This window comes from Homo sapiens, chromosome 2, assembly GCF_000001405.40.
Source record: "Homo sapiens chromosome 2, GRCh38.p14 Primary Assembly".
Classification (NCBI taxonomy): domain Eukaryota; kingdom Metazoa; phylum Chordata; class Mammalia; order Primates; family Hominidae; genus Homo; species Homo sapiens.
In genome coordinates this window covers 8,811,343-8,834,151 of record NC_000002.12, presented here as the reverse complement: position 1 = coordinate 8,834,151, position 22,809 = coordinate 8,811,343, and the positions used below count along the sequence as shown (strand labels likewise).

Below are 22,809 nucleotides of genomic sequence, written 5' to 3'. Positions count from 1 at the left end.
CCAGGAATGTCAGCACCAGGGTAGGCTCTGGGGACTGCACAGGGGTGATTGTTGCTGGAGACTTAAGTGGGAGGAGGAGAAGAGGGGCTGGAGATAGAGAACCATGGGAGGGGCCACATTCAGGAACTTACTGTGTCGTATCTGGAGGATAAGAAATAAGTAAGCCTTGGGCAGCATGGCACTATTGTTGCTTTCATGCACTGTGTCTGTAACCGGAGAAAAGTTATAGGGTGCGTCTATTAACCGATTGGCCTTTTGGTGAAAGCATTTTGAATACATTTAGAGATTTTGCCTATTAAATTGGCAAGTTCTAAAAATGGACTTACTACAACATAAATTTTTTGTTCTGACATTGCTGTTGGCTACATCTGCCATTTTCAAAACGGGTGGCAAGACATTAATTTTTTTGCTAATTGTGCAAAAGAATGTATAGCCTTATATTCCCATTAGAGAGAAAGTGCTGTGGACATTAGATTCAACTGATGTCCATTTATTCAAGAAATATAGTGTCTTGTATGGGCCAGCTATTAAGCTAAGTGTTGGGTATTTGGTATAGAACGAAAGAAAATAATTCATTCCTTTTAAAAGCTTATATCCTAGTGGGAGAGACAGCTATTAATCAGGTAAATATGTCCCATTCCAGCAGGTGTAGCTAAAAAAAAAAAAAAAAAAGACAAATTTAAAAAACATAAATATGTAAATTACAAGTTTAGTAAAGTGTTATGAAGGAATAAAAAAGATTCCATAATAGAGAACAATCCAGGTTATGAGAATCAACCAAGAAAGGGTGGTTAAGAAATGATCATATTCTGTTATTATGTAAAACAGCTAATATTTATTGGCTTCATATGGGTTAGGTATTATTTTAATCCCATTGCATGTAATTGTGCAGTTATTTGAAGATGGGGAAACTCAGACACTGAGGTGAAGAAACTACCCCAGGGGACAGGGAGTGATAAAGAGAGGCTGGTTAATAAGTACAGACATACAGTTAGGTAGAAGGAGTAAGCTGTAGTGTTCAGCAGCATGGTACTATGCTTAACAGTTTATTGTGTATTTTATTTTTTATGGTATATTTTAAAGTAGCTAGAAGATAAGATTTGAGATGTTCCCAGCACCAAGAAATGAGAAAAGTTTGAGGTGATGGATATCCTAAATACTCTGATTTGATCATCACACATCCTATGCATGTAATCCAAATATTACACATACCCCATAAACATGTACAATTATTATGTATTAGTTAAAAAAATTAAGGAAAAAAAAAAGAAACTAGCCTGGGATGATATAATGGTCAGTAGTAAAGTCAGGAGTCAAACCAAGGTAGTCTGGCTCTAGGGTCCATACTTTTGACCACTAGACAGCTTCGTTTTAAGCCGAAAGGGCTTTTGGAAGTGAACGTTGAACTGAAATGTGAAAGATGAGAAGCTGTAGTTTTCCTCCTGTGATGAAACATTTTTTTTTCTATTGAAAATGAACGTAGACTTAATACATCAAGTAAAACAATATAGCACAAAGACGCGTGAAGGCAAAGCTAATCATCTCCTCCTTTTAGTCCTACATGGTAAGATAACGAATTTTACAGCCAGGTGTGTGTCCTTCCACACTTTTCTTTTTGTTCATGTGTACACACTGGATAGATACATATATGGGGGTCTTATTTATTTTATCAAGTAGAATTATACTACACACGTGCTCTTAAACATGACAGCGTGTCATTGGTTTTACTATTGTGTGTATCAACAGATGTGGATTTAATGTTCTAATTTTATTTTGTAATTTCTAGGCACTTATATATGTGCTTACAAACATCTTATGACATTTAATAATCAATTATTCAGTGAAATTTATTAAACACTGTCAGTGCCCTCTAGTCAAAGACTGCCAGGAACATACCTCTAGTTGAACAAAGTTGGTCTTATTAACTCCCTGCAATGAAGGAGAATGCCTGTCCTAGGGAACGTTGGGGGTCTCTGTAACAGGTTGTTAGAAAGGACTTAGAAGATTCGAGATGATGTTAGGTGATTCGGGGAAGAGTTCAAGGAAGCAAAGCTTTGCTCAGTCTCGGGTGCTTCAGGAATAAGGAGGAGTGGGAATTCTGCAATTGGATATTTAAAATCTTAACGAAAAGGCAAGAGGTATGGAGTAAGGCTAAAGCTGTAATTGATAAAGAAGCAGCAATGCTTCATATTAGCCACGATAGGAAGATGTTTGGGCATTTTGTGGTTTGGGTGATGTTCATGTTTTTGTCTATGTTCAGATATGATTCCAGAGTAGTCTTATTTTTGTCTTCATATCCTGGTGACAGAGTGACCTTGTTTGATGTTGGCATTCTTTGAAATTGTTGCATTTATGTTAGAACACCAAGTCTGGCTGTGTGTGCCGGGTCAGTTCCCGACAGTCAGGGGCTGCTTTTCTCTCTCACCTCCTGTTGTGTAGGCATTGTGCTAGATATAAAGCAGATCCTGCTGCAAGAACTTCTAGTCTAAGGGAGATGTGGAGAGAGTGAGTAAAATGGAGAGGAGAGTTGAGTGTGATGTGAGCAGTCTACAACTAGATGTATACACAGGTGTGGAGGAGCCCAGGGCCTGGCCCAGCTTGGGGTAAGCAGCCAGTCAATGAAGGCTTCCAGAAGATCTGTTAGAGCCATGTTCTTAAGGATGGGTAGGAGCTGTTCAGGCATATATACGTGGAGAATGGACTTTCTAAGCAGAGGGGGCATTAAGTGCAAAGGTCTGGAAAGAACAAAGTGTGGGGCAGTGAAGGAGCTGCAAGTAGATCAGTCTGGCTGGAGCTGGAGGTGTAGATGTGACTATGTAGAGGGTGGGAGGGATGGGGCTGAGGAGGGGAGAAAGATAAGGCTGGAATGGTAAGATGGGGCCAGATTGTGAAGAATCTGCATGCCCTCATCATAATCAAGAATTGAACTTACTGAGTTTTCACTCTGCTCAGTGGAGAGCAAAGCTTTCCGTAGGAATTGTGTATTTGCATCTTTACAATGGCTTTAAAAGCCTTAGAAGGCGTAAGTTCCTTGAATAACTTGTAAGTAGTAAAGCTGTCATCTGTCCTCCCAACCTTGGTTTTAGGAGAGATGTATTGTAGGTCACTCTTGCTTCAGTGTGGCAAATGGATTGCAGGTGGCAGGCCTGGAGAGAGGAGGCAAAAGTTGCTAGCCTGTCACATTGATCTGGGTGAGAGATGGTGTAGTAGAAGTTTTTAGGATTGATGCCTAGATCACAACTGTTTACTCTTTTCTGGAAACAGTGCCAATATGGTGTGACCTTGTAACCCCCTCCCAACTTTGTGTCTCTAGTTGCTTGGTTCTGGGTGTGCAACAGATCCAGCCTGGGCAGTCAGAGCCCTTTTCTGGGACTGTTGGATCTGGGAACAAAGAATAGCCTGCTTTCTCTGGTGTTAGAGACTATCTGATTTAGGCCAGGTGCGGTGGCTCACACCTGTAATCCCAACACTTTGGGAGGCAGAGGCAGGCGCATCACTTGAGCCCAGGAGTTTGAGACCAGCCTGGGCAACATGGTGAAACTTCATTTCTACAAAAAATAGAAAAATTAGCTGGGCATGGTGGTGTGCACCTGTAGTCCCAACTACTCAGGAGGCTGAGGTGGGAGGATCGCTTGAGCCCTAGAGGTCAAGGCTGCAGTGAGCCATGATCGTGCTACTGCACTCCAGTCTGAGTGACAGAGTGAGACCCTGTCTCAAAAAATAAATAAACGATCTGATTTGAGGCTGGATGGCTGTGGGAAGCCATATTTCCCTTTGTGTAGAAGTAGTTGGTCTAGAAGGAAAGTAGATTAAGCCAGTAGAGAAAGAGAATCCTCCTGGCATTTGAGGTCCAGTGGCACCCACTCTTCCTGTAGTGTGGTTATGGGAAATAAACCATTATCCTTCAAATACATTTTTCTGTTTTGCTTAAGCTAGTTTAAATTAGTCTCTTGCAACCTTAGGGGTCTTGATTAGTATAGATGGTGAAGGTCTAAACTAAGGCACTGAGTGTGGGGTTGGGTGATCTCACACTTTAGGGGGTAAACTGGATGAAAAATGGTAGCTGTGTGACTCAGAGGGAGATGGGTGCCTTGGTAGAGTAGAGATGAGGATGGTGTTCTACATGGAAGGAGCACATTGAGCATAGGCGGGAGTGTGGAGCAGCACTGGGGGAGTGTGGTGAATTTGAGTTCTTCTGCTTGGCTGGGCTGTGGGGTGAGCTGGGGCTGGTATAGAGGGAGAGCCAGATCCTGCAAACCTCACTGAGGCCTTAGGCTTGATCCTAGAAGGAGTGGGAATAAATGAAGGTAGGTGTTGGTGATGACTGCTAATACAAACCCTCACTGCTTTCTAATGATAGAAGCATCACATTCCAGAACATGTAGGAGATAAAGGTTTTAAAGAAAATAAAAATTACACTAATGCCCATCACCATTTGTTCTTTTTTTATTTCCAGTATTTAAAAATGTATACATTTAAAATAGCTGAGATGCTGTATATATAGCTCTTAATCTTTTACCTCACTTCTTCTATCATGAGCATTTTTCTGTAACACATTTTTTGAGACATTTTGATGACTGTATATTATCCTACTTTGTGAATTTTTATAATTTATATAATATCCATTTCTAAGATTTTTGTTCTTATGGATAAAATTGTTTTACTTAAAATCTTAAAATTTTGTTCATGTTTCTCATGTTTTTAGAATAATTCCTAGAAGTGCAACTATGGGATCAAATAACATCATTTTTTAAAATAATAGTTTTTCACCCCAAGAGTATAAATTCAAGTTGTTCTGAATATATACTCCCTAAAAGTAAGGTATACTGATTTATACTTTACATGTAATAACATTCACCCTTTTTAATGGACAGTTCTGAATTTTGACAAACGAATGATTGTGTAACTGCCACAACAGTCAAGATATAGAACAGCCATTAACTCGCCAAATTCTCTTGTACTCTTTTGTAGCCATCTCATTCCCCTGCCTTAGACCCTGGCAGCCCCGATCTGTTTTCTGCCCCTGCAGTTTTCCTTTTCCAGAATGCTATATAAGTAGAATCATATAGTGCTATAGTTTCTGCCCTCTGGCCCCCAGAGATAGATTTCCTTCCTGTGTCAAAACATATTCACTCCATCGCAAGGCCTCCCCAAAAGTCTCAGTTCATTTCAGCATCAACCCAAAGTCCACAGTCTCATTTAAATCTCATCATCTAAATCAGGTATGAGAGGGTCTGGGTGTAGTCCATCCAGAGGCATGATTCCTTTCCACCTGGGAAACGCAAGAATCAAGTTATCTGCTCCAACTTAGAGTTAGGGAATGGGCATGGGATATCAGTTATAGACAGTCCTGTTCAAGGGTGGAGGAAAAGGAAGGCAAAGAGGATTCACCAGTCCCAAATAATTTCATTTTCATAACAGCCAAAGTTTTCAATTTTGACGAACTCTGGTTTATCAGTTTTCTTTTTTTATGCACCATGCTTTTAGTGTTATATCAAATCTTTCTTAATCTAAGGTCACTGAAGTCATCTATATTTTCTTCTAGAAGTTTTGTACTTTCAGACATTATATTTAGGTCAATTTTGAGTTAGCACCTGTATGTGGTACAAAGTATGGATTGAGGTTTATTTATTTGCATTTGGATGTCCAGTTGAATATAATAAAATTTCTACTCTTTTAGAACTTATAGTTATGGTAGACAGACAATAAGTGAACAATATGTCATTTTTTGGATGGTGGCAAGTGGTGTGGAGAGCAGTGAAAGCAGGACAAAGGGTTGAGAGTGCAGGGTGACAGTGAAGCCTGTGTGGGGTCGGTACCCTGACATCCCACATCCGGTGAGACTTTGTAACCAGGTGACCTGACGGGGTCAGGGGGTAAGCCGTGTGCATGTCCTGTGGAAGAGAATTTTAGGCAGACAGAAAAGTAGCACAGAGGCCTGGCGAGGTGGGACGGTGCTCAGTGTGGCCATGCAGCCAGGAGGGTGAGAGGGGGTGGTAGGAGCTACAGTCACAGGTGTCACACAGGTGAGAGGCTTGCCACTGAAGAGTTATCTTGGCCAAGGTAAAAACATTTGATTTTACTTTGAGCACCCCGAGAAGCCCTTAGAGGGCTTTGAATAAAAGAGGCCATGCTCTGACTTAGTACTGCTCACATTGTGGTTCTTCCTCAGTGTTGTCAGTGTCACAGGGAGCTGGATAAAGATGCAGAGTCAGGGGCCCCACTCAGACCTGCTGAGTCAGAATCTCTGACGGTGGGGCCCAGGAATCTGCTTTAAAAGCTCTTCAGGTGATTCTGATATATGTTAAAGTTTTAAAAAAAGTAATGTAATTTTAATTGACAAATTATATATATTTAGGGGTACAATGTGATGTTTTGATACATGTATCCATTGTGGAATGATCAAATCAGGCTAATTAACATATTCATCACCTCCCATACTTAATTATTTATTTGCAGTGAGACCATTTAAAATCCACTCTTCCAGGTAAAGTGGAGGCAGGGAGGCCAGTTAGGAAGCGATGATAGTGACGCAGGTGAGTCACGGTGGCTCGTCCAGGGTGGCAGTGATGAAGTGGTGAGTAGTAGTCAGATGTGAAATGTATTTTACAGGTAGAGCCAAAAGCATTTGCTAATAGATTGAGTGTAGGGTGTAAGAGGAAGAGGTAAGTCATGAACAATTTCAATGCTTTTGGCCTTGGAAGAATGGACCTGGAGCTGCCGTTTACTGGCATGGTGACAGCAGGAGGAGCAGGGGAGCATTTTGGAGTGGTGATGAGGAGGGTTTGGGGATGGATGTGGAGTTTGGTGTTTGGATAAGTTAAGATGGAGGTGAGTGTGAACCTAAGAGACATCACGGCAGCTTTTTGACACCTGAGCTATGGAAGCCGTGGGAAGTCGTATCTTCACTTCTGCCACTGGAGGTGTCCTTGCATGAGGTTAATGTTAAGAAGGATATTGTATTTAATAGTAACTTAATTTTTTCTAATTATAAATTATGTGTATTTTGTCTAATTTAACAGGTATTCAAATAAAGTTAATTGCAGCTTTCTGTGAAAATGTCAGTTTTGATATCACAGAGCGTCATAAATTATGTAGAGGAAGAAAACATTCCTGCTCTGAAAGCTCTTCTTGAAAAATGCAAAGATGTAGATGAGAGAAATGAGGTAAGACCAAGTTTGCAAAATTACATTCTTTCACAAATATTTGTTGACTGCCTGCTATGTATAGGATAGAAGTGTGTAAGAAATAGGTAGTTCTAACCCTTAGTAATACTGCACTGTACTTATGATAGAATGTCTTATAGTTAAAAGTACTTCAAATTTCATGTTTTTGGAGTACATTTTAACTTATATAAATGACTGTTGAATTTAGATTTATTGTTTTTTTTCCCCTGATGGAATAATTAATATTCAGGAAGCTTGATTACTGAAATCAAGTACTTCTGTGAAACTTTACAGATCATCTGGACCTGATCTTGATTAACCAGACAAAATCAGGGATTGTTGAAATACTTTCTTTTTTATTTTTATTTTTATTTTTTGAGATGGAGTTTCACTCTTGTTGCCCAGGCTGGAGTGCAATGGCACGATCTCAGCTCACCAAAACCTCCGCCTCCCAGGTTCAAGTGATTCTCCTGCCTCAGCCTCCCTAGTAGCTGGGATTATAGGCATGTGCCACCACGCTCGGCTAATTTTGTAGTTTTAGTAGAGACAGGGTTTCTCCATGTTGGCCAGGCTGGTCTTGAACTCCCGACCTCAGTTGATCCGCCCACCTTGGCCTCCCAAAGTGCTGGGATTACAATCGTGAGCCACCCCGCCCTGCCTGAAATACTTTCTTTAATGAGCCCCAACTATCATCCTCCATTGTTTGTCCCACACACTTTGGGATTATTAAAAACCCTACATCTTTATTAGAGAGTTAAATAGGTTATGTATTATATTTAGTAACACACTAATAAACATTAACTCAAATGAGATATTTCTCCTCAATGTTATGAGGTAAAAAATGTGGATCTTAGTTCATTATGAAAAGCCAAACTATTATTTTATATTATTTTATTTTTTTTGAGATGGAGTCTCACTCTGTCACCCAGGCTGGTGTACAGTGGCAGGATCTTGGCTCCCTGCAAGCTCCGCCTCCCAGGTTCACGCCATTCTCCTGCCTCAGCCTCCCGAGTAGTTGGGACTACAGGCGCCCGCCACCATGCCCGGCTAATTTTTTTTTTTGTATTTTTAGTAGAGATGGGGTTTCACCGTGTTACCCAGGATGGTCTCCTGACCTCATGATCCACCCACCTAGGCCTCCCAGAGTGCTGGGATTACAGGTGTGAGCCATCGCGTCCGGCAAGCCAAGCTATTATTATTTGGCAGGACATTTTAGGTGCTAATACAGTTTTGTATAAATATTGTAAGTATCAGGGTATGTGTTTGTTTTACAAAACTTAAGGAAAACAACCCTGTCTCTTAGAACTGTGTGTGTTTTCAAGAGTATAATATTTCTTGCCAGTAGATAAGATGAATAAGGAGTGGTTTTTTATTTTACACTATATGTGTATGTGTATGTATATATACTTATGTGTTTGTATATATTTGCTTACATATATATCTTGTGTAGACATATAAAAAGTTTTATTTATAATTTTTTTATTGTGATAAACACATAACATAAAATTTATTGTCTTTACTATCTTAACCATTTTTAAGGATACAGTTTAGGAGTATTAAGTATTTCTCCATTGTTGGGCAATAGATTCCAGAACTTTTTCTTTTTTTTTTTTGAGACGGAGTCTCACTCTGTCACCCAGGTTGGTGTGAAGTGGTGTGATCTCGGCTCACTGCAACCTCCGCCCCCTGCCTTCCAGTGATTCTCATGCCTCAGCCTCCTGAGTAACTTGGACTACAGTCGTGCGCCACCACACCTGGCTAATTTTTTATATTTTTAGTAGAGATGGGGTTTCACCATGTTGGTCAGGCTGGTCTCGAACTCCTGACCTCAAGTGATTCGCCCACCTCGGCCTCCTAAAGTACTGTGATTGCAGGCATGACCACTGCATCCGGTCTACCAGAACTTTTTCATCTTGCAAAATCAAAATTCTGTCTATTAAACAGCAGCTCTCCCTTTCCCCCTCTCCCTAAACCCTGGCAGTGACCGTTTTACTTTCTATTTGTATGAATATGACTATTTAGACACCTCATGTAATTGGACTTATATACTGTTTGTCTTTTTGTCACTGGCTTATTTCAGTTAGCATAATATCCTCAAGGTTCATCCACGTTATAGCACGTAACAGGATTTCCTTCCTTTTTAAGGCTGAATAATATTTCATTGTATGTACGTAGCACATTTTCTTGGTCTATTCATCTGTGGCTAGAAATTTGGGTTGCTTCCATCCCTTGGCTATTGTGAATAATGCTGCTATAAGCATGGGTGTGCAAATATTATACATGTTTTTGCTTGTGTTTTTTGTTTTTAGACAGGTTCTCACTCCATTGCCCAGCCTGGAGTGCAGTGGCAGAATCAGGGATCACTGCAGCCTCGACCTCCCAGGCTCAAGCGATCCTCCTGCTTCAGCCCTCCAAGTAGCTAGGACACAGGTGTGCACCACCATACCTGGCTAATTTTTTGTATCTTAGTCGAGATGGGGTTTTGCCATGTTGCCCAGGCTGGTCTCCAACTCCTGGACTCAATCTGTCTGCCCGCCTCGACCTCCCAAAGTCCTGGGATTACAGGCGTGAGGCATCATGCCTGACGTATAAATGTTTTTAAAGCTGCTGAATTACTTTATTATTACTTTTTCTGACCTGTGGTACCTAATATCATTTAATGTTAACTCAGTCGTTAAGGAAATGTTGATATAAAAATGTTGTTATTACAATAATAGCTAATGTTTTTATTGAATGTTTTCGTTCATTTTCATTAGCTATTGAATAATAGCTAATGTTTTTATTGAATACTTATGCAAATATTCTGGTATATATTTTCTATATCTTAGCTCATTTAACTTGCGTAGCAGCTGTATAAAGAATAATACTGTTATTTATCTTTATTTATGAGTAAATGACTGAATTCCTCAGTTTCCTATCTAAGATATTATTTGGTAGAGTCCATATTTGAACTTTGCTCTATTTGACTTTAAACAAATTATAATCTGTGTAAGCTCTATGTTTTTTTTTTGAGTCTTCAGAATAAAATTTATTTAATGATAATGCCTATATTTTCAATGTTTCTATATTGAACAAAATATATTTTCATTAGTTAACATCATTACCCCCTTCAATGATTATGAATAGTCAAAAGTTGTTATACATAGATAAGATATAACATTTATAATTGGAGGTTGTTACAAAAAGATTACAGAAGTAGTCATTTTGTTAGCATATGTTAGCATATTTGGAATAACCATATGATAGTTTCAAAACATTAAATTTTACTTTAGAGACACTTGTCTAGGGAATGCTAAGAAAACAGCTTCACTTGGAAGGAAAAAATAGCACATCAATAAGCGTAAAATTAATCTTATTGCTATAAGGAGTAAAGCACTGGCATAGAGCTTAATTTAGCATCATGCGAGATAAGCATTTAATGGATATTAATTAACATATCCAGTTTAATATTGTATCAATTTAAATTGGAGTTTTAACGTGATAATTTGAAACCATCTAGGCTTTTTCAGTTATGGCTCAGTGTAAAAGTTGGTATTTTTTTTTTTTTTTTTTAGCATTTTGCTTTTACAACTTCTGATAAAGTGTAATTTTTATAGAATTACAAAAAGTTGTTTGTATTTTTTCCCCTTTATTCTCATTTTAAAAAATATTTATGTAACTTCATGTTAATGTGTTTGGTTACCAGTTTTGAGAAAGATTCTTAAGTATTAGATCAATTAAAATAATGTGGGTAGGCTGTATGTGGTGGCTCACACCTGTAATCCCAGCACTTTGAGAGGCTGAATCTCTTGAGCCTAGGAGTTTGAGACCAGCCTGGGCACTGTAGTGAGACCCTACTTCTAAAAAATATTAGCCAGGTGTGGCACCTTTTAGACCTAGCTACTTGGGAGGCTGAGGTGGGAGGATTGCTTGACCCCAGGAGTTCAAGGCTGCAGTGAGCTATGACTGCACCACTACACTTCAGCCTGGGCAACAGACTGAGACCCTATCTCTAAAAAATATAAAATAAACAAATTTAAAAAGGGATAAAATTGCCTGATACTGTGCTTATTAGCACATAATTGCCCACAAACAGTGAATTCTAGTTTCCTTTTATTGCTTTATTTATAAACTAGATAAATCTTTGGCCTATGAATATTCTCAATGATGGCAAATCTTTGTCCTTTATAGAGTAGTGAAGAGTTTTTATTTTTATTTTATTTTTGAAAGGAACAAACAGTCACTGTCAGCTGTCCTTGGTATAAGGGAATAGTGTTGAGGCTGGTCATTTTTTTCCCGTTTAAGAAAATGAACTGAGACTTTAAACAATGGATTTTGCTGTATGTTTATGAGTAAACTTTATTTTATTTTATTTTTTTTGAGACAGGGCCTTGCTCTGTTGCCCAGGCTGGAGTGTAGTGGCATGATCCAGCTCACTGCAGCCTTGACCTGCTGGGCTTAAGCAATCCTTCCATCTCAGCCACCTGAGTAGCTAGGACTACAGGCGTGTGCTACCACGCCTGGCTCATTAAAAAAAATTTTTTTTGTAGAGATGAAGTTTCACAATGTTGCCCAGGCTATTCTACAACTCCTGGGCACAAGTGATCCACCTGCCTCAGCCTCCCAAAGTGCTAGGATTACAGGCATGAGAGTCACTGCGCCTGGCCTGTAAATAGACTTTAAAGGAAATTTCAAAGGAGGATTTCGAAATGTTTTAGTTTCACTGTGGTTATTGGAAGAAGTAGAAACCCTCCAGAAGGACTGCTTTAAAAAAACCAGTGGTTATTTAGGTCTCATACACTTAAATAAGTAGAAATGGGAACCTAGAAATTGGGAAGAGCAAAAAGATGCTTAAATAGTAGTTGTTTTTGCATTGTAGTCTTCTGGGAAGCTGAGATAAAGTCCAGTATTTCAGTAGGTGCGTAGTGTTCTGTTTTGTTTTTGGTGTGTTTTGGCTTGAAGTCACTATGAGTAGTAGAGCGGGGATTATGTGGAATGTAATCCTGTGTTTTCTAGAAGGAGATAGGCATGGAATTTGCTGGGATGTGTGGGGTCAGGTATGGAAAGGATCTTTACTGATACATTTTCAAGTAGAAAAATGAAAGTTTTCATGACATAAGTTACTCTATCTCTACAACTGTAGTTACTGGACTGGTTAAGCAAGAACTAGGAGAATCCAAAGATAGGCTTTATTTTCAGGCCCAACTTTTAAAATAACAATCGTTCTATTTTTGGGGATCCTATAAAACTTTATGGCAGCCTTTCCTGAAAGTCATTATCTTTTTGGATAGCGTAGCTACAAAAGGTGCATCAGTTAAGAATTGCTTTGTAGTGCATGGAACAGCTCTCAAAACAGTGATTTAGATAAATTAAGGTTTTGTTTTTCTCACATGACAAGCTAGATGAGCCATTTCAAGGCTGATAGATGGCTTCAGAACCCAGGCTCCTTTCTTTCTGGCCAGTCCTCACTGTGTGCCTATTGCGTCACATCAGTCATGTAGCAAAAGCTCCAGCACTGTGTCTCAGTATTGGGCAAGAAGAAGGAAAAGGCACAGACCAGCTGAATTAGTACAGCGCTTTCCTGGGAGAGCTAGCCAGGGCACCGTTGTGGGATTATTTCCAGCTGCAAGTGAGGCTGAACACTGGGTGTTTTTTTTTTTCAGCTGAGCTCATTGCCACCCGCAACAAGCCCTGTCTTTCTAGATACTGGGTGGACAGCTAATAGTTTCTGCAAGAGAAAATAATGACAATTCTAATCTTTCATTTGGCATGTTTCTAGGCTATCAAATTTATACCATCTTTCCTACTTGTGTTATATGTATTTATAACATTTATATTATGTTATATATTTATAACATTTATATTATTAAAACATTTATATTATGTTTTTCTCTCATTATCTAGAAACACTTACCTATGTGAACATCTGAAATGTAACTGTGACCCAGAGCGTAAACAGAAAACTTCCCTGAGTCTTTGGAATTATAATTTTGAAAACTGTGATGTAAAATTGATGTATTCTCAGGACTGTGGATTTAGAGTTTGTTGCTTTAATTTATATATTCTACCAATGACTTTGATACCTGACTTTTTATCCCAGTAGATTAGAAGGGAGAACAGTTCTATAGAATGTATACCAAAGAACCTAGAGCGGACAGAGGCGTGCGTGGCATAGTAATTGATGTTGGTAGTGACGACTCAGAATTCTAAACATAACTTTTAAGGCCATCTGCTTAATAACTAGCAGTACGTGCATAGCTTTTCAGAGTGATGATTATCATAAAAGTTATAATCAGCTTGAATGTTGAGAAGATAAATTTTTTCACCGAGAAAATCTATTTATGTGTAATACGTCATTCCCTAATGACCCTGGTTGGATGACATGTGGCTACCACGTATAATTTAGCATCCATCCTTACATAGGAATGTCTATATTTAACGTGACCGATACTTGAACTTTAAACCAGCGTTCGTGTTTAAATCCTTACTTGTATTATTCTTATAATAGCATCTGTTGTATTTTGGTAATCATTATAACTATTTGCTTATTTGGATGTTGTGCCTAATAGATTTTTAAATTCTTTGAGACTTTGCTCACTCGTTTACTCAGCAAATATTTGGGTACCTGTGTGGCAGCCACTGTCCCTCACACTGGGTATATAGTTTTAAACCCATAAGCAAAACAGACATGTTTCCCGGCGTTTAGGGGAGACAGACAATAATCAGTTGTTAATCACACAATGAAAATGTGGTTACAAACAAGGATTAGTATAGGAAAAGTAAATTATAGGGGATCAGTAAGGAGGTGGGAATGAGCAGGAGGACACGTTGAGGCCGGGGGTGGCACAGACTGGGTCGAGGGCCAGGCATGCCCTGCTCCGCGTCACTCAGGGTTTGTGTCAGCTTGGGTAAGGATGTCGGTTCTTATCCAGAAGAACTATGGGAAAACATTGAAGGGTTTGAAGCAGAGGAATAATGTCAGGTGGGCATTTAAAAGAATCATAGATTTTCCCTCCATACTAATATACATGTAGTAAGTAGGTGTTTAAGTGTTTGCATAATTAAACTTAATTTTTGGTGTACATTTTTCTCATATGCCTTAGTGTGTCTTAGTACCTTTAGTATCATCACTCTTTAACCTGGTACTTCCTTTTTTGAAAAATTTTAATTTAAATTTTTTTTTGAGACAAGTCTTGCTCTGTCACCCAGGCTGGAGTGCAGTGATGCGATCTCAGCTCACTGCAACCTTTGCCTCCCAGGTTCCAGCGATTCTCATGTCTCAGCCTCCCAGGTAGCTGGGATTACAGGCGTGTGCTACCACGTCTGGCTAATTTTTTGTATTTTTAGTAGAGACAGGGTTTCACCATGTTGGTCAGGCTTGTCTTGAACTCCTGGCCTCATGTGATCCGTCCACCTTGGCCTCCCAAAGTGCTGGGATTACAGGCTTGAGCCACTGCGCTCGGCCTAACCTGGTATTTGCCGATCTGTTTCCTGTCATGGCACTTACAGAAAATGATAACTTTTGTACTGCACTTGCAGTAGATGAGGCTTGCTGTTAGGGGTGACTTGTCTAGGCACCCAGCTGCCTGAGCCCTGCCCTCATCTCCAGGGCTGAGGGAGCATCGTCTCTGTACTCCTGTGACTCATTCTTAACACAAAGGCTGGGACACTGATTTCAGCAGTAGGAGCTTTATTTAGTTTAATGAACTAAGTTTCTAAGAGAAGGCTTTAAAAAACTACATATGTGTATTATACATAGCACCTGGTTGTTTTTATTTATTATTTTACTTTTCTTCTTCTCGTCCTATTTCAGACAAAACATATATATAATTAAAAACACATTTTAGATCATATTCTACCTGTATTGTTAGAGAATTTGGCTACCATAAGTATTCTGAAATTTTATGTATATTTCAGTAATTGCATTCCAAATCCTAGTGTTATTCATATTTACTTACTTTAAATGAATTTGCAGTGCCAAAAACAGATTATTAATACTGTGGGAAGAAAAATTATGTTTTATTTTTTCTTTGACTTTTAAATTATTAGTAAACTGAAACTTAAAGTTCAAAGCTGTTTCTAAATTAAATATAGTAAACACAACTAAACAATGCTTAACATACATTCATGAAAATGTGTGGTATATTTAACTGTGATGTTTTAGTAAAAGTGCAGTAACTTGATAAGTTCCCTTTGTCTTTTATATTCTCTAGTGTGGCCAGACTCCACTGATGATAGCTGCCGAACAAGGCAATCTGGAAATAGTGAAGGAATTAATTAAGAATGGAGCTAACTGCAATCTGGAAGATTTGGTATATATTAAAATAATTTACTCATCATTTACTCACTTTTTTCTTAGCTATTTTTTTGTTTTTCAGAAGTGATTCAAAAGTAGTAATTAAAACTTTTACATATATTTCAACTTTGCCTAGTGGGCTATATCAGTTTTTTTTAAAAGGAGTAATACAGGAGAGAAATTTTTACTTTCAATGAAGGATCTCAGCTCTTTGGTTTTTTTATATGGATGAGACTGGCTGAATAGAGAGCATGTGTACATATAGTTAAATATCTACCTAGAAGATATCCACATACGAGTCATGTTAAGTAACTCCCCATAATGGTAACTTATTATAAATAATATCATTACATGCGATAATGGCCAGGAATATATGGTCCCTTCTGATATCACTTGTGAGGGGTAAATCAACATTCCACACGGTTACATTTCCTCTGATTCTCCCTGTATTTTTGGAATTGCTTTTGAGGGTCACACAGCTACATCTATTTTGTTTCTTAATTGAATGATCATTTGAATTATATTACAGTTAGGAATTAAAAAATAAAAGAGAATAGTTCTTTATCACATGGTTTCTAAACACATCATATGAGATCTCTGTAGTCTGCTAACCTGTGAATGTGCTTTTAAATCTGATTACAGTCTCTTTAATTCCAATTTATATTACAGTAATGGTGGCTAGCCATGAGGATTAGCTTTGAGGTTTTGATGATCATCTTTTCTCGTTTTTAAAAAGCGCAGTATATGATTAGAAGTTCAGTGAGTAGACTGAACAAGCAGTTGTAAAGCCATGTTTACCCCATTCTTAGTGATGCAAGTGGACAGATAGAATCTTAAGAGAGCTTCAGTATGACTTTAGAGTAGTTTAGTTAGCATGGGTCACACCATGTCAACTTGGTATGATCATTTGGTATGTAAGTTCAAATGTAGTTTTCCTTACTTTGACGTGTTATTTTTGGTTTGAAAATGATAACTTTTAAAATATATGTTCAAGGATAATTGGACAGCACTTATATCTGCATCGAAAGAAGGGCATGTGCACATCGTAGAGGAACTACTGAAATGTGGGGTTAACTTGGAGCACCGTGATATGGTATGGACATTTTTATATGTTCTTAATTAGCTGAAATCTTATTTATAATCATAGATATGTGTGAAATATTTTATTTTTATGTGTGAAATGATATTATAATAATGTTTTTAGAATTTGGGATTGGGCATTGAAATGACCCTCAAGAATGTTTTAAAACCCAGGTGTTGTAATATACCTCTTAGAATATTCTTAGTCATCATTTTTCATTTATTTTGGAGTTTAAAATTCTGACATATTGTTACAAATAACTCATTACTCTTTAATATATCAATGTTTTGGAACTTCTGAGACAGTTGTTTCCTTTAGGTAGGACTTTAGGAGGGACAGCGTATGGTTTTAAAACTATTATCAGGTGTTTGAAGTTATACTTTTCAGAATAATATTTTTAGATTTATTTTTAAAAATGTGATTATTTTCAGACATGCTATCTGTGCATGACAGAAGTTTAACAAGATGTGATCCTTAATTATTACTTAGCTCTTACTTGAGTTTGGCATCTGGTTAAAGCATAAGGTGAAGAGAGAGGTCATTTCTGGCTAATTCTGTAAAATGTTCAGCCCTTTTAAAAGTTGATTTTAACAGTAGAAGGAAGGAAGAAAACGATCTGCTGTGATATATAAAATATTTATTACTTAGCTGATGATGGTTTTTGAAGTACAGACGGTCTGAGTTTTTAAGAAGCCACAGCATTTCACCATTTTGCCCTTAATAGCACATTATAATTTCACAGTAGTTCAACCTGTATAATCTTATATTTGTTCTCAAAACTAAGTGCAATGGGTGGTATCTTTATTTTTATAGGAAGATACAGGGAACCACTGGTATCTTACATATTTCCAAAAAGAACTTAAGTACGTTGCAGTGAAAGTTTAGGGAGAGAAGATAATGATGTCAGTAACTGAGGCAAAGACGGATATGACAGCCGAGAGTGAAATGTGGTTCTTGCCTTGTTGGTACGAAAGGTAGAAGGGAAATGCAGGGAGTTATCGAGTTCTCAATATTTTATTAAAGGTACCTTACCAGATTATCAGATGGGTTAATGACACAGTGGCTATAAAGCACCTAGAGAGGCCAGGGGTGGAATAGGTACCATACCAATAGGTACCATACCAGTTATTCCGTGCCTGGCTTCTTTAGGTGCTTTATAGCTGCTGTGTCATTTAACTGACTTCTCAGAACAATCCTGTGGACTAAGGTTGATTTTATTCTCAATGTATAGTTGAGGAAATTGAGACTGGAAGAAGTGAATCTTTATCCTAAGTCACACAGCTAGTAAGCACTTAGGCTGGGTTTTGAACCAGGTCTCCCTGCTCCAAAGGCTTTCTCCTCTATCATTGTTTTACATAGATCAGCAAGGGAATTAGGAACAATAAAATATACGTTATGAATGTGTAAAAATGTATTAAGATTTGTAAAAACTGATTTCTTAAACTTTTTTGGCTCTTCCTATTTCTTCAAAGTGATGACCAGAAAACCTTTAACATTTAAAGGATCTTTATTAAAGGTTCTTTATTTTGGCTTTAAAACACTGAAAGTTGGGGAAACTGAGGACCATGTCTCTCTTAGTAGCTAGTTTTGTGGGACCTTAACCTCAAAGGATTGGGTGGGTGGGTGGTAGTAACTACCCAAGTAACTACTCAACTTCCCAAGTTGAGGGAAGACAGAGTCCCTGGGACTTGCTTAAGGAGAGGAGAGTGACCACTGAGATCCTGTGGGGCTCAGGAAGAATTCCAGGATTTCATATCAGAAGTCTAGTGAGGACTCTTCCTGTGAGGACTTCTACTGGCACCAAAATGAAGAAAGAGTTCATGAAATATAAAGCTACACTATAGTTAATTGGTCTCAGTCTTTTGCCAATTTAGCTTCATTTTCTTGAGATTAAAATTTTATCTCATAGGTTCTTATGTAGGGGGCCAGAGGGACATTATTCTTTATTTTTTTTTCCCCCTGAGACGGAGTCTCGCTCTGTTGCCCAGTCTGGAGCACAGTGGCACAATCTTGGCTCACTGCAACCTCTGCCTCCCAGGTTCAAGCAATTCTTCTGCCTCAGCCTCCCGAGGAGCTGGGATTACAGGTGCATGCCACCGCACCTGGCTAACTTTTTGTATTTTTAGTAGAGACAGGATTTCACCATGTTGGCCAGGCTGGTCTTAAACTCCTGACCTCAAGTGATCCTCCTGCCTAGGCCTCCCTTTTTTTTTCTTTTTCTTTTTTTTTTTTTGAGACAGGGTCTCTGTCACCCAGGCTGGAGTGCAATGGCACGATCTCAGCTCGGTACAACCTCCATCCCCTGGGCTCAAGCGATCCTCCCATTTCAGCTCCCCCTGTAGCTGGGACTACAGACACACACCACCGTGGCTGGCTAATTTTTGTATTTTTTGTAGAGGCAGGGTTTTGCCATGTTGCCCAGGCTGGTCTTGAACTCCTGAGCTCAAGTGATCTGCCTGCCTCGGCCTCCCAAAGTGCTGGCATTACAGGCATGAGCCACCATGCCTGGCTGGGACATTATTCAAATTGAAGTGAGGACATGATGTTAAAAAGTTCTGGGCAAGTATTTTACAAGTTAAAATACAGATGTAAGACTTGACTTGATCAAATGCCCAGCTCTGTAATTTCACCTAAATTGTGTCTTTTGTGGCCTTGACACTTTAGAGGAGTACTCATCAGTAATTTTAGAATGTTCCTCAGTTTGGATTTGTGGATGTTTCTCGTGTTCAGTTGCAGATGTGCTTTAGAGGGAAGGATGTCCCAGAGGCGATGTGCTTTTCTTGGTGTACCCCCTAGGGGGAACGTGATTTCAGTTTGTATCACTGGTGATGTCAGCCTTCATCTCTTGATTAGGGTGGTGTCTGCCACTGTAAGAGCACTATTTTTCACTTTGTAATTACTAAATATTTGGGGGAAGATACTTTGACACTAAACAAAATATCTTTATTCTGACTAAAACTTTCACCTATTTGATTTAGCATTCATCAGTGAATCTTACTTGCAGCAGTTACTACCATAACTGTGGTGGTGTAATGATGATTTTCTGTTTCCCTCATATGTTGTACATTAATTAGTTAGAATTCTTCTGTAAGGAAGAGTGCCTACTTCCCTTCCCCACACCCTACTCTATCTGTCTATCATCTGTCTGTCCATCCATCCATCCATTCATCCATTCATCTATATATCTATCTATATCTTTCTATTTCAGTATGGACTTATGAATATTTATTCCTTGGGTTATAGCCCAGTACTAATATTACTGCTCAAGTTGTTCCAACTTTATCCATTAGAAGCTCTTTCAGGCTGGCTCTGTGCCCTTTTAAGATGCTCCATACTTAAAAAAAAAATTCCTTAGTAAGATTTGATTACATTGGTCTTTTTTATTGAATCGTATCGTAGTTAAGGAGAAAATTTCTCCTGTAGCTTAGCAAGTAGAACATCATCAAGTGTGGTGTTGATTCATACCTGATGACTTTGCCTACCTCTGGAAATTCTGGTCACAGATGAGATGCCTTAGCATCCTCTCTCTTTTAGCAAGAGGTACTAAAATGATCTGGGATTTAAAGGATGTGTTCAAATGCAGGAGTTGAATATGATTGTTAGAATCTCTCTCTGAATAAAGTTTAAATTCATAGAAAGAAGTGAATATCTAGGAACATAGCAAGTTTTCTGAAGAAATTTTTATTTTTTAAATTTTTTTTTATTTGAGATGGAGTCTCGCACTGTCGCCTGTGCTGGAGTGCAGTGGCGCGATCTTGGCTTACTGCAACCTCTGCCTCCCGGGTTCAAGTGGTTCTCCTGCCTCAGCCTCCCGAATAGTTGGGACTACAGGCACACGCCACCATGCCTGGCTAATTTTTGTATTCTTTTAGTAGAGATGGGGTTTCACCATATTGGCCAGGCTGGTCTCGAACTCCTGAGCTCATGATCTGCCTGCCTTGGCCTCCCACAGTGCTGGGATTACAGGCATGAGCCACCGCACCCAGCCTGAAGAAATATTTTTGGACAGCCAAAATAAATCTTAGAAGTTTGGAAGAGTTCATAATGAATGTTCTCTAATTCAGGTTTCATAATATATTATAAACTTTGGACTAACCATTTGTGGATGCAAGAGATTTGACTTATTTCATGTACTATTGTATTTGGGGAGCCTGGGAATTTAGAACTATATAATACTACCATCATGAAACAATGATTTATAAAGATATTTACTAAAGAAATTTCATTAGTGACATTTTTTATACTCAGAGATGATTTAAAGTTTGATTCCCTTACCCCTACATTTTTTGTTTAGGGAGGATGGACAGCTCTTATGTGGGCATGTTACAAAGGCCGTACTGACGTAGTAGAGTTGCTTCTTTCTCATGGTGCCAATCCAAGTGTCACTGGTCTGGTAAGCATTAACAAAAAAATTTGTTTGTATTATAAGTGGTAAGTTTTCTTAGGGAATACTTAAGGTTGATTATATTTGGCTTCGTGGTGGGTAGAAATATTCTTTATCTTATTAAACGTAACATAGAATATGATTTCAAAACACAGTAATGATAATTTTTTTCTAAAGCTAAGTATTTCTCAATTGTTGTCAGCAAAAAGGCAGCTCTTAGAGCTTAAATGTTAATTATAACTATATAACATTGCAAAAGGAGATTTTGAGATCTTTAGTCATCTTCCTCTTTTCTGTGTGTGAATCCTTAATCTGAACTTAAAGAAAAGAAACATTTACAAAATAATCATACTGTTTTTCTATACATTCTGTTATATATATTTACATTCCTCTTATTTTGCTTTCTTCTTACTAGTATTGCCTGTTGGCCAGATAACCACATTTTAATGTGTTGAATTTATAAAAATAAATGTGTTCATAATATATGTTTACTTAAGATTTATTATATCTTAGTTGCCAATTATGTATTATGAGTATTTTGTCTATTTTTAAAGTGGAGAATGGTTTGTAATCTGATTTAAAAAAAACATTACTTTGTGTTACTTCCTTTGATGTTTACTTTACTTAGCAAATGTGTGTTGTAAATATCTACCTAAAAGATTTTATTTCTCCTTCCCTCCCTCCCTCCTTCCTTTCTTTCTTTCCTTCCTTCCTACTTATCTACCTACCTACCAACCAATCTATCCTAGCAGTACAGTGTTTACCCAATCATTTGGGCAGCAGGGAGAGGCCATGCAGATATAGTTCATCTTTTACTGCAAAATGGTGCTAAAGTCAACTGCTCTGATAAGGTAGGTCAGCAGCATCTTTTCAGGTTCCAGTCCATGTTATGTCCACTCAGTGTCTAAGTTATAAACATTTTTATATGATTTCATGAGGCTTCTCTAATGTATTTTATATTTTTGTATATTAATGTATTTTATATAGATATATATCTCATAGATGGATTCCCTGGGTGTATTATGTAGTAAGTATCCTTCTGATGTTTTCTTATGTCACATTCATCATTCCCAAGAAAACTGACCGGGATAACAGAGTCCCTGTCTTCATTGTTTGAAGTTTTCTATTGTAACTCTCCTTCCTACATTCAGTCCTATCTGCTTTCTCTGTATTGTTGTGTGAGAGATCTTTCTGAAATTGAAGTTTGGTTATGTTTCTCTTGTGCTTAAATTCCTGAAGACCATCTCTGGTATGATGGGTGAAGATGGGCCTTGCCTTCCTTTTTCCCCTTCTCTTACTGCTTGTCCGCCATGGTTCCTTGCATGCCAGCCACTGAATGACCCACGGTCCAGGGCCCTTCACAGTGTGCCCGCCTCTTCCTCCTCAGCTTCACATCATCTCTGAGGCTCTGCCCATTTGCCATCACCTCCAGAAAGCACCCCAGAATGATGTGCTATTCTTTTTTTTTTTTAAATCCTTAACACTTACCTCAATCATTGCATAAATACCTACCTAATTATCTTTTTTTCTTCTTACTTTTGGAAAGCTTCGTTGGCTTTCACTGTTTCGGGATAAAACCCAGGCTTCTCAGTTTGGCTTCAGCCTGTCTTGCAGGCTCACTTCTTGCCATTTCTTTCCATATATGCTGTGTTTTAGATACAACCGATTGTCTAATGTTCTGTGAACGTTGTTTCTGTGTTTATTCTGTTCCCTCTGCTAGGAATGTTATTCCCTCCTCTGCCTGATGAACTCCTGTTTATTTTTCAAGGCTTATTTGAGGTGTTACCTTCTTTGTTAAGTCTCCTTACCCTAGGTGCCCCTTCCTGGGTACTCTGCACATTGCCATTAGGGCACATAACCTATTGCCTTGTAATGATTGATTTCCACATCCTTCTTACCACTA

The 22,809-nt window shown here is 38.4% G+C and overlaps 1 protein-coding gene across 16 annotated transcripts in view; it reads left to right on the top strand.

The window, feature by feature from the left end:
- KIDINS220 (kinase D interacting substrate 220) overlaps window positions 1-22,809 on the top strand; it is a 116,533-nt gene that overhangs the window by 3,462 nt on the left and 90,262 nt on the right. For 8 of the 16 annotated variants that reach the window (NR_145965.2, NM_001348741.2, NM_001348738.2 and 5 more), the window contains exons 2-6: window positions 7,023-7,166; window positions 15,359-15,457; window positions 16,436-16,534; window positions 20,817-20,915; window positions 21,659-21,757. Coding sequence is in view for 14 of the 16 variants with exons in the window: in NM_001348741.2 (NP_001335670.1) it covers window positions 7,059-7,166; window positions 15,359-15,457; window positions 16,436-16,534; window positions 20,817-20,915; window positions 21,659-21,757 (504 nt within the window). In the remaining 2 variants the exon portion in view is untranslated. Of the gene's footprint in view, window positions 1-7,022; window positions 7,167-8,238; window positions 8,410-15,358; window positions 15,458-16,435; window positions 16,535-20,816; window positions 20,916-21,655; window positions 21,758-22,809 lie in introns of all 16 variants that reach the window. The other 8 variants (NR_145964.2, NM_001348739.2, NM_001348740.2 and 5 more) reach the window with 2 other exon arrangements.